This window comes from Homo sapiens, chromosome 5 (genome assembly GCF_000001405.40).
Source record: "Homo sapiens chromosome 5, GRCh38.p14 Primary Assembly".
Classification (NCBI taxonomy): domain Eukaryota; kingdom Metazoa; phylum Chordata; class Mammalia; order Primates; family Hominidae; genus Homo; species Homo sapiens.
In genome coordinates this window covers 43,166,715-43,178,384 of record NC_000005.10, presented here as the reverse complement: position 1 = coordinate 43,178,384, position 11,670 = coordinate 43,166,715, and the positions used below count along the sequence as shown (strand labels likewise).

The 11,670-nt window shown below is 40.5% G+C and overlaps 1 protein-coding gene across 17 annotated transcripts in view; it reads right to left on the bottom strand.

Annotated features, from left to right (window-relative positions):
- Positions 1 to 2,060: 2,060 nt before the first annotated feature.
- The window catches only part of ZNF131 (zinc finger protein 131), a 55,411-nt gene continuing 45,801 nt past the window's right edge, over positions 2,061 to 11,670 (bottom strand). For 16 of the 17 annotated variants that reach the window (NM_001388319.1, NM_001330712.2, NM_003432.4 and 13 more), the window contains 2 exons: positions 4,937 to 5,067; positions 2,063 to 3,938 (listed from right to left, as the gene is read on the bottom strand). In NM_001388319.1, coding sequence (NP_001375248.1) covers positions 3,252 to 3,938; positions 4,937 to 5,067 — 818 coding nt within the window. In that variant the 3' untranslated portion in view covers positions 2,063 to 3,251. Of the gene's footprint in view, positions 3,939 to 4,936; positions 5,068 to 11,670 lie in introns of all 17 variants that reach the window. The other variant, NM_001330705.1, reaches the window with a different exon arrangement.

Genomic DNA, 11,670 nt, shown 5'->3' with positions numbered 1-11,670 from the left:
GCCGGGCATGGTGGCGCATGCCTGTAATCCCAGCTACTCGAGAGGCTGAGGTATGAGAATCGCCTTAACCTGGGAGGTGGAGGTTGCAGTGAGCAGAGATCGTGCCATTGCACTCCAGCCTGGGCAACAAGAGTGAAACTGTCTAAAAACAAAACAAATAAAATGGATTTGGGTTTTTCTCCCTGGTTCCTTGCACACAGCTCCAAAAATCCTTGTAATTTCCAGAATGTCTTTTGTTATTCATTACAAGCCCCTTTTGATCTTACCAGTTTATGCTAATGAGATGACTACTGGCAGAGGGCCCCTAGATAGCTTCAAGATGGGCACGGGTCACTAGAGGAACCAGTTGTATTAAAGGGCTACAACTATTACCCCCACCCGAGACCTCCAGGGAGAAGAGGGGCTGGAGATTGAGCCCGGAGGCCAATAATTTAATGAGTCTAGGTTATAAAATGTCAGTAAGGGAGCTTCTGAGTTGAACACATCAACATGCTGGGAAAGTGGCATGCCAAGTGAGGGCAGAGAAACCTCTACTATTCTCCTCCACAACCCCCTCCATCCACCTTACTCTATGCATCTCTTCCATTTGGCTGTTCCTGAATTGTATACTTACTGTAGTCGTTAAGTATAGTGCTTTCCTGAGTTGTTTCAATGCATTATTGAACTTGGGGGGATGGGAAGGCCATAAGAACCCTAAATTTACGGTTGGCTGGGCAGAAGCGCGGGTAGCCTGTTGATCGCATTTGTGGCTGGTGTCTGAAGTGGGGGCAATTTTGTGGTACTGAGCACTTAACTTGCTCTAAATCTGGGTGGTGTCAGATTCAATTGTTGGACACCCAATTGATGTCTGAGAATTGCTGTTGAAACGGAGTAGAGATAGAAAAGCCTCTCATCGTTCTCAGTGCACTTGGGACTTATTTCTATGTGATCATCATTGCACACTCTACTGTCCAACTTGGTACCTCATACTGTAGACTTATCTTAAAACTCCAGTACAAATACAGTAGAACACTGGAGGACTAAATATCCAGTTTGCTTCAGTACTTGAAGCAAATATACATCAGTTGTTAACAGCTGTTTTATGTTCTACATAAAGTGCTTTCCAACTACAAAATGTTATTCAACATACAGTTTATCACCAGTAGATAGTTTTCCTCTACTTTTGCAATCAAATTTACTGGCATTCTGGGTACACTGATAGCTTCTATACCTTTTGGGAAAAGAAAAATGAACTATATCTGCATCTCAAATCTACCTCGAAAGGTCTTGACAAATGTGAAAACTCAAATAATTTTAACACTTTGATGTACCTTTGCCCTTGATCTTTACCTTGTGGTCAGAACTCTTGTTTTAAAATCCTTGTTTCATACCTTAGCTTAAGGGCATAGTATGCGCTATTTTCAGCATTCAAAATTCACCAGATACTAACTAGTAATTTACATATTTGAGACCACTATCTGTTAGGGTTTTTTTTCTTAAACAACTCAGGAACATTGGCATCCTAAGGCAAACTGAAAATTCACTGGGATATAATTTAATTATATTATTGGTATTTTCCAATTTCAAATAAAAACTATACTGTTAAATAAGCTTTGCAGTAGATACCCAACTACCAAACAGTACACACTTGGAAGTGTTCATACCCTTATTTTGATCTTAAAAACGTGGCCCCCTTAATACAATGGTTGGCTCTATCTCCAGATTTATATCTAAATCTGACTTCTCCAATGCTGGGAAGCCACTCTCTTCAGCGTATTTTTGTAAATGTGATACCATTTAACGTCACGATTACCAAAGGGGGCTAATCGCATTGGTCTTTTACATTTGACACAGTTAAGTGGAGAATTCCTGCTATTGTGCCTACCATGTAAGAACTATTAGCATAAAGAATATGAACTACTTCCATGCTTTTGAGCTGATTTTGGGGGGTTGGAGGTGTGATGGAAAATTTATCACAATTCATGCATCAGTCATGTTAACACGGGTAAAGACACATGAGGAACTATCTCTGCCCAGATATAAACTTTCACGCTGGTAATTTTTTAAAAAAGAGTCATGAACACATAATTTTAAAGTTTACTTAAAAAATGTAAAGAACTCCCAATATTTAACAGGTAAAAAAAATAGCATATTGGTCTATGGGTTTGTTATATTTTATTTTCCAAGTAATACTGATTAAAAATATTTACACACCTACTTTTAAGTCCACAGTTTAGCACTCTTATTTGTATGGCTTTAAAAGTTATAGCACAAGATCTTTACATTAAGAATTGGGGGAAAAGATTCCATTCAAAACAAAGCCTGATAATTATATACATGTCTTTCTCTGTACTTTATTTTAAATACATTAATTTTTAAATGCTGCTCATCTTTTTCTCATCTGGTGGTAAAATACTAGTGCAACTTTTCATCAAAATAAAGTTTACCACAGATGTAAATAAATTTTCCCAATTGAAAATGGCCCTTCAGTGGCCATTAAATAAAATTTCTCAACCTAACTTAAGTGAAAAAGAACTGGTGGTTGTCATTATAACCAAAAATATAAAGTATTATAGCATCATCTACATTGCTCCTTACAACACAAACTTTGAAAGAACCAGAGATGCTTTATAGAAGTTCAGTTGGTTTTGAGAAGGCACATGGGTGTGGATTTTTTTTTTTTTTTAACATTCTAGAAATTTTGCCACCACCACTCTTTCTGTTGCAAAGATGGCATCTGTGACTACTGGGGTAGACAAGAACGTTTGTTCAAACTAAAGAAAGCCAGAAGCCAAAATTTAACTGCACAGTAACAATGCACTTTTCATCATGCAGCCTTGTGTTTCCTATATTATTCAATTTTCTAACATGCATTAGAATACATAAACTTGTATTCTAATGATTTAAGTTTGATTTTACAATATGGAAAAAATTTGAGGAAGAACATGACCTGGGAAAGAGAAAAGGAAGAACTTTTACCACAATGAAAATAGATACATTCGTACCCAACTATATAATAAGAATATAATCCATTTAAGTTTCCAGAAATATACTTCTCAAAACTCCCCTTCAGTTATGGAAAAGATCCCTCCTCTGTGGCAATAAGTAGGGGGAGGGGAATCAATGTGTTTCAACGGACAACAGTTCAGCACAACAGGAAACAGCTTAACTTTGGTCCACTTGTCTGTTAGGCTTAATTAAGGACAGTCAAACTGCCCATAATCAGTTCAAAAACCCAACAAGTAAATTTAAAAATATATTCATGTGTAATTTCATTCTAAAACTGGCAGAGCTGTTCTGTCCTCATTCTCTGCCTTTTCTGCTTCAGAATCCACTGTTGGCTTGGTCTCTAAATCCTCAGCATCTTCGTGATCTTCCCTGGCAGCCTCAGCAGCATCTGCTTGGCTAGACTCTCTCTCCTCTTGGTTCATGATTTCTGGGGTCACGTGGTCCAAATCTGCTTCTAGAAGTTCAGTTTGTACTTCCACTGGCATTTGATTGACCCGTTCAACATGCAGCTCCTCTACATGTACTTCAGTACCTTCTTCAGTCTGAATTCGGCCCACTTCTAGATAACTCACTTGGACCTGCTCTGGAAGCTCACTCATGTGTGAATCGTGCACCTGGCTGTCCTGGAGCAGATCTGGATGGACTTGTTCCACAGTCACTTGTGCTGAATCCACCTGAACCTGAAGCAATGGTAGCACATGCACCTTCCCAACTTGTTCTATAATAGTCATTGATGTTACAGGTTCAGTTTGCACACGTGTTTCTACTGAAAGAACTTCTTCCGTTACTAGACGCTCTGAAATATTGTGAGCATCACTGAGATGCCTCCTTAATTCATTTCCTTGCATAAACCACAAATCACATAAAGTACAATGGTTGGGTTTATCTCCAGTGTGTATTACCAAGTGATCTTTGAACTGGTCCCAGCTGTTAAACACACTGTTGCAGACCTGAAATAACCAAAAATATGATGTAGACAATACTTATATCCAAACTGAAGGAAATATGAATGCATTTATTCTCTGTAAAGAAAAGATTGAAGGCTTATTCTGTAAATGTTATAAATATGGTACCTGCAATAGAATCTCGTCCAAGCTATTTCATAATTCTTTGGTTCATTTGGACTTCTAGCTGACACAGCTAGTAACCTAAATACATTCTTTTGTTTGAAACAAAGTCTCGCTCTTGTTGCCCAGGCTGGAGTGCAATGGTGCGATCTCGGCTCACTGCAACCTCCGTCTCCTGGGTTCTAGGGATTCTCCTGCCTCAGCCTCCCAAGTAGCTGGGATTACAGGCATCTGCCACCACGCCTGGCTAACTTTTGTATTTTTAGTAGAGACAGGGTTTCAGCACGTTAGCCAGCCTGGTCTTGAACTCCTGACCTCAGGCAATCCACCCGCCTCGGCCTCCCAAAGTGCTGGGATTACAGGTGTGAGCCACCGTGCCTGGCCACCTAAATACATTTTGAGAAACATTTCAATACTGCCTTCATTGTTTAAGCATCATATAAATTCTAGAAACATAACAATATTTTAGTTTCTCCCATAACATAGAACATTTACCAAATAATGTAATTTTTGTATTTTTATATCAAATAATGTAATAATTGTTTGATATTTGATATAAAAATACACTAATCATGGGGGGGGAATCTAATTACAGCTGAAATGCTTCCACCAATCCCCACCCCAAATTTTAATAATTACTCCATGGTTAACTATAGTTCCAGACTGTTATTTAGGACATAGTTGTTATTGACATTGGTGTCATCTAGGGTTGGGTTAAAAAAAACTAATTTAGTCCCCAAGACAATAATGTTCTTTATTCTCATTTCTTTCCAAACCGTCAGCCCCTATACCTTTGCTTGAGACTCTGTTTCCCTTTGCTTTTGATGACTGCAAACACAAGACTCCTTTGTTAAGAACTGAATGTATGTATCTGCACATACCTGGCATTCGTAGAGCTTCTTCCTTCCTTTTTTTGCCCCTACTCCAGTTTGGCATGCAGTGAGGTGACATTTCAGAGTGCTATTTCTAGCAAATCGTTCATGACAATTTGGACATTCAAAAGGTTTTTCACCTATTAGAGGGGAAAAAAGATACGTTGGCAAATTAAGAAAAATCCTAAGAGCAAATAATTTTAAACGTTTACTTTTTCTTTTTGGGTAATTTTAATACTAAATTCCTAAAAGGAGAAATCACAATTCAGAATTCAAATATTTTCACCATATTCCAAAGACTTTTCTAGAGGTAGCAAAAATAATAAAATTTAATATTTAACTGTATATATGCTTTGACAAAGATAAATATAATTTGCATCTAAATTCTGTTCCATGTCTTTACACTTCTTAAAAAAATTATTTTCCCTTAGATAAAAATCATGATCAATCTCTATTTTGCGGAATTGCATCATTTTCCTTTCTGCATTTTTTGCACACTTACCATGTGCTAGACCATGTGCTAGGTGATGAAGGTAAGAAGATAAACTGTCCTTCTTTGCAAAAAACTTCCTATCAAAGGCCAAGGTATAAAGATGAAATACATGAAAATAAACAAATGCAATGCACTATAAAAGATCTGTCACAGAAAAGAGCGATGGAATATGTATTGCAGTAGCACAGAGGAGGGGGTCAATTCGGCCTGGAATGAAATAGGAGAAAAAAAAGAAAGAGGCACGGAGGTATAAAACAGGTGGAGATGTCCAGTAGATAGCTGTAAAGATAATTCTGGAGCCAAATAGAGGGTGATTTATATATAAATTAGGGTTTTTTTTTTTTTTTGAGAGTCTTACTCTGTCACCTAGGCTGGAGTGCAGTGGCACAATCTCGGCTCACTGCAACCTCCGCCTCCCGGGTTCAAGTGATTCTTGTGTCTCAGCCTCCCGAGTAGCTGGGATCAAATGTGTGCGCCAGCACGCCCGGCTATTTTTTTGTATCTTTAGTATAGACGGGGTTTCACCATGTTGGCCAGGCTGGTCTCAAACTCCTGACCTCAGGTGATCTGCCTGCCTTGGCCTCCCAAAGTGCTGGGATTATAAGCGTGAGCCACTGCACCTGGCCAAATTAGGGGTTAAGTGATAGTAAAAACCTCCAGGCAGGAAAACATTTCTGAGTATGTTGTATGATAACAAAAATCAAGGGCAGAACCCAGTGAAACACCAAGTTAAAACAGCAGGTAGATGGGCTAGTGAAGGAAATGAAACAGCCAGAAGTAGAAGTAAAGAAAACAAGGAAATGACTTTAACCAGTGATGTAATTGGATCAGAAGGCCCACTGCCATGGGGCAAGAGTGAGTGAGAAGGATGACAATGAAAACAGTCATTACCAAAATTCCTTTAAGAAGGCCTACAAGGCCAAACATGGTGGCTTATGCCTGTAATCCCAGCAGCACTTTGGGAGGCCAAGGCAGAAGGATTGCTTGACGGGAACAGCCTGGGCAACATAGTGAGACCCCATCTCTATTTAAAAATAAAACGGCTGGCCCGGGGCGGTGGCTCACACCCGTAATCCCAGCACTTTGGGAGGCCGAGGTGGGTGGATCACTTGAGGTCAGGAGTTCAAGACCAGCCTGGCCAACACTGCGAATCTCCGACTCTACCAAAAATACAAAAATTAGCTGGGCATGCTGGCACGAGCCTGTAGTCCCAGCTACCTGGGAGGCTGAGACAGAACTGCTTGAACCGGTGAGGCAGAAGTTGCAGTAGGCTGAGATCACACCACTGTACTCTAGCTTGGGCGACAGAGCGAGACTCCATCTCAAAAAAAATAAATAAATAAAATGGCCTACAAGAGAGATGACTACCTAGAGGGGAGCATGTCAATAATAGCATTCTTTTTTTTCAGACGGAGTTTCGCTCTTGTTGCCTAGGCTGGAGTGCAATGGCATGATCTCAGCTCAGAGTTTCACCATGTTAGTGAGACTGGTCCTGAACTCCTGACCTCAAGTGATCCACCGTGCCCAGCCAATAACAGGATTCTTTAAGCCAGGAGGGACATCCATTATTTATTTGTTGATGGGCAAAGAGGCAATGGAGAAAGGAGATGGAATGATAGATGGGACATGGTTTTAGAGGGACATCAAGGCATGGGATCCAGAATTGGCTTTGAAGAAAAGGGAAACCTCTTTCTCTAGAATAAAAGAAGAGGGGACAGACCAGGTGCGGTGGCTCACACCTGTGATCCTAGCACTTTGGGAGACCGAGGCGGGTGGATCACGTGAGGTCAGGAGTTGGAGACCAGCCTGACCAACATAGTGAAACCCTGTCTCTACTAGAAATAAAAAAATAATTAGCTGGGGGTGGTGGCAGGCACCTGTAATCCCAGCTACTTGGGAGGCTGAGGTACGAGAATCACTTGAACCCAGGAGGCAGGGGTTGCAGTGAGCCGAGAACAGGCCATTGCACTCCAGCCTGGGCGACAGAGCGAGACTCTGTCTCAAAAAAATTTAAAAAAAAATTTAAAAAATCGCCGGGTGCAGTCATCACACCTGTAATCCCAGCACTTTGGGAGACTGAGTCGGGTGGATCATAAGGTCAGGAGTTCGAGATCAGCCTGGTCAATATGGTAAAACCCCATCTCTACTAAAAAAAAAAAAAAAAATTAGCTGGGCATGGTGGCAGGCGCCTGTAGTCCCAGCTACTTGGGAGGCTGAGGCAGGAGAATCACTTGAACCTGGGAGGCGGAGGTTGCAGTGAGCCGAGATTGCACCACTGCACTCCAGCCTGGGTGACCGAGTGAGACTCCGTCTCAAAAAAAAAAAAAAAGGGGACAAAGATGAATGCTGTTACAGGTAAGTTGGGGGTTGGAAGATAAGTAATCTGCTGGAGATGGGGTGTGGACAGAGGTCTTGAATATATGGAGAAGCTCTGAAATAGCAATTAGGAAAAAGGGATAAATCAGACACTGAAGTGCTTAAGGTTTGAGATATGAATTTCCTCCAGCAGTCCTCAGCAACCAGCAGGTAGGAGTAAATAACTGAATGATTCCAGGATGGAAGGTGGAGCCCCAGTAATGAGGAGGTCCTAGATGTGAGCCTCACGCTTAAATAGAATGACACAGTCAAGTAACTGAGCTATATGTATTATCTGACAAAACATTTATAGCTTATTTTGTACAATTTTTATGTGATGAAAAGTTAATTTGAGAGAAAAGACCTAATTAGCTGGAATTAGTGTAATACAGAAACTCTTTTCAACTCCCAAAATGATGGGCAATATCACTAAATGGTTTAGTGGTTTTATCAATGAATAATTTTTCATTATCAGTGAGACCTGGAAACAAATTGGCAAAGCCTCTCCTTAAATGACAATTTGATAATCTTTGTCAAGATATAAAATGTGCATATTATTAGGGAGGATGAGGCAGGCAGATCACAAGGTCAGGAGTTTGAGACCAGCCTGGCCAACATAGTGAAACCCCGTCTCTACTAAAAATACAAAAAATTAGCCAGGCGTGGCGGCGGGTGCCTGTAAGCCCAGCTACTCGGGAGGCTGAGGCAGGAGAATTGCTTGAAACCAGAAGACGGAGGTTGCAGTGAGCCTAGATCACGCCATTGCACTCCAGTCTGGGTGATAGTGCCAGACTCTGTCTCAAAAAAAAAAAAAGAAAAAAGTGCATATTCTTTGACCTGGCAATTCTGCTCTTAAAAATGAAATTACTTGAACATATGAAAAGGCATATGTACAAGTATGCTTACTACAGCATAGTCTGTAATACCAAAAGCCTAGCAACAACCTAAATGTTCATCAATAGTAGTTGATGATATACCCATAGATTAAAATACTGTGCAGCCACAGGAAGAAAATTTAAATACTCATAAATGTTCCATATATTTTTTAAAATGACAAGATAAATTAAATGGCATAATGCCGTACTACCGCATGCTCGCTTGTTTTCCCAAAAGCATGCGTACCTGAGCGTCTATGGCTACCTGAAAATGCAAGGAATGTATCTGATAAATCAGAAAAGGATAGCAGTAGTTACTTCAAGAGATCTACCTGAGTAGAAACGAGACTCAATTTTCATTGTGTGCCATCTGAGCTTTTTCCTATTTAAAAAATTAAGTAAACTCAGTAAAATGTAGAAATAGAAACATATTAATTATTTTAGATGTGTGGACAGTACAGTTTTCAATGCGCTTTCATCATTTTCTTATTTGTCACAACCCTATAAAGTAGGTATCTTTATCCTTATTTACACAGACAAGAAAAGCCCAAAGATAAAGTGACTGGTCAAGTTCATCATGCTGGCAAATGCTGAACTGGAGATGGAACTGAAATTCTGATTTCTGGACACACATTCCCTCTATGATTCCACACTACTTTTCTTGGAAACTAGGGAGTAATTGTTTGAAAACATGGCTAAAGGTTACCTCTAGGTTCTCTTTGACACTGTGTCCCACAGGTGTATCTGTCAACATGTCTGGTATTTCCCTCCTTCCCCATCTGTTTACTCATCTACGTATTTTTTTCTAAGTTAATTAGCCTCCAATCAAACAGCCATCTACATCAGAAAGCTGGGAGTCACCAGCTCTTTTACTCCTGCACCTCACCGACCACCAAATCCTATTGATCCAGGCTACCTAATGTTACTCAAATCTCTCTTTTCCGCTAACACTGCCTTTACCCAACCTCCCATTCTGGTTTGGACGACTCCAAGATTCCTCACTGAGCTAGCAGGTTTCAACCCACTCCAATCTATCTTGCCAGTCATCTCTCTAGAATATCAATCTGATGAGATCTCTGCCTGGCTGAAACTCCTTTAAAATGACCCAGTCTTCCAAGATATTATTCAAACTCATTTATGGAATTTATGAAAATAACTACATGATCTCAAACTCATCTCTCATTACTCTCCCTCTTTCTTACCCTTACTCCACTCTAGATCTCCCATATGATGGCCAAGTGCATGCCACATGGTTAGCCCTTCCAACCCCTTTGGCCACATCTCCTGGCATTCCTCTAATTGGACCTAACCCTCTGGCCATAATGCCCTATTAACAGTGATCCAAACAATTTGTTTCCTCTCATTCCTCTGTGACTGTGTATGTTTCATTTCCTTTGCCTGGAATACCTGTTTCGAGGCTAACTCCTTTTCCTTTCTGAGTCATCAAAGGGTAATGACCCCCAGAAGCCACCTGCTATAGTTTGAATGTTTGTCCCCTTCAAAACTCAGGTTAATACCGAAACCCCAATATGGTAGTATTGAGAGGTAGGACCTTTAAGAGGTGATAGGATCATGAGGGCTCTGCCCTCATGAAGAGATTAATCCATTCATGGATCAATGAATTAATGGGTTATCATGGGAATGGGATGGGTGGCTTTAAAAGAAGAGTAAGAGAAACCTGAGCTAGCATGCTCAACTCCCTCACCATGTGATGCCCTGCATGGCCTCAGGACTCTGCAGAGTCGCCACTGGCAGGGCTCTCACCAGATGTGGCCTCATAACAGTGAACTTCTTAGCATCCAGAACTGTAAGAAATAAATTCCTTTTCTTTATAAATTCTCCAGTTTCAGGTATTGTTATAAGCAACAGAACAGACTAAGATATCACCTTTGTCTCTTCCATCACAAACAAGCAACCCAGGCAGGCATTCCCACAGGATTCTGCTTACTTTGGTCAGCACTTAACATGTTACACAGATTGCACATGCTTGTCCCCTGCCAGCATATCCTGAGCTCCTTGAAGGCAGGGACACTGACACTGTTTTATATTCATGGCCTAGTGGTATATGGCATTATCATTACTATTTTCCAAATAAAAATAAATTCAGAGGACAAAAAATAGCTAAAATTTTACAAATCAAGCCACAGATTACAGTGCATGCTTTATGAACATACAAGAAACCAAACCATTAAACTAATAAAAATATGCAAAATATGAAACTAATGGGGTATATACGTTTTGAGAATAAGAAACAGGAAGAGGACTGTCTCCTGTCTTCACAGTTTGTTACAAGGAAAAATGATCCATTTTTTATTAACTTAAACATAGTTTAAAACTGCTTACAGACCTAATTTTATTGTGCTTTACTTTATTGGACTTTTTGAAAAACTGAAGATTTGTGACAACCCCGTGTAAAGCAAGTTTATCGCTGCCATTTTCCCCAACAGCATGTACTCACCTCACGTCTGTCACTGTAATTACTGCAATATTTCAAATTTAAATTTAAATTTTTAAATTATGTCTTATAATGATCTGTGATCAGTGATCTTTGATGTTACTACTTCAATTGTTTTGGGGTGCCCTGAACCCACACCCATAACAAAGAGCTTAACTGATAAATGTTGTATGCATCCTGACTATTCCACCAACCAGCTTTTCTCTCTTCCCTCCCTCTCTCCTCTAGTCTCTCTATTCCTTGAGAGGCAACAATATTGAAATCAGATCAATTAATAACCTTACAACAGCCTCTAAGTGTTTAAGTGAAAGTCACGTGTCTCACCCGGATGCGGTGGCTCATGCCTGTAATCCCAGCACTCTGGGAGGCTGAGGCGGGTGGATCACGAGCTCAGGAGTTCAAGACCAGCCTGGCCAAGATGGTGAAACCCCGTCTCTACTAAAAAATACAAAAAAAAATCAGCCAGGCCTGGTGTTGGGTGCCTGTAATCCCAGCTACTCGGGAGGCTGAGGCAGAGAACTGCTTGAACCCGGGAGGCAGAGGTTGCAGTGAGCCGAGATCACGC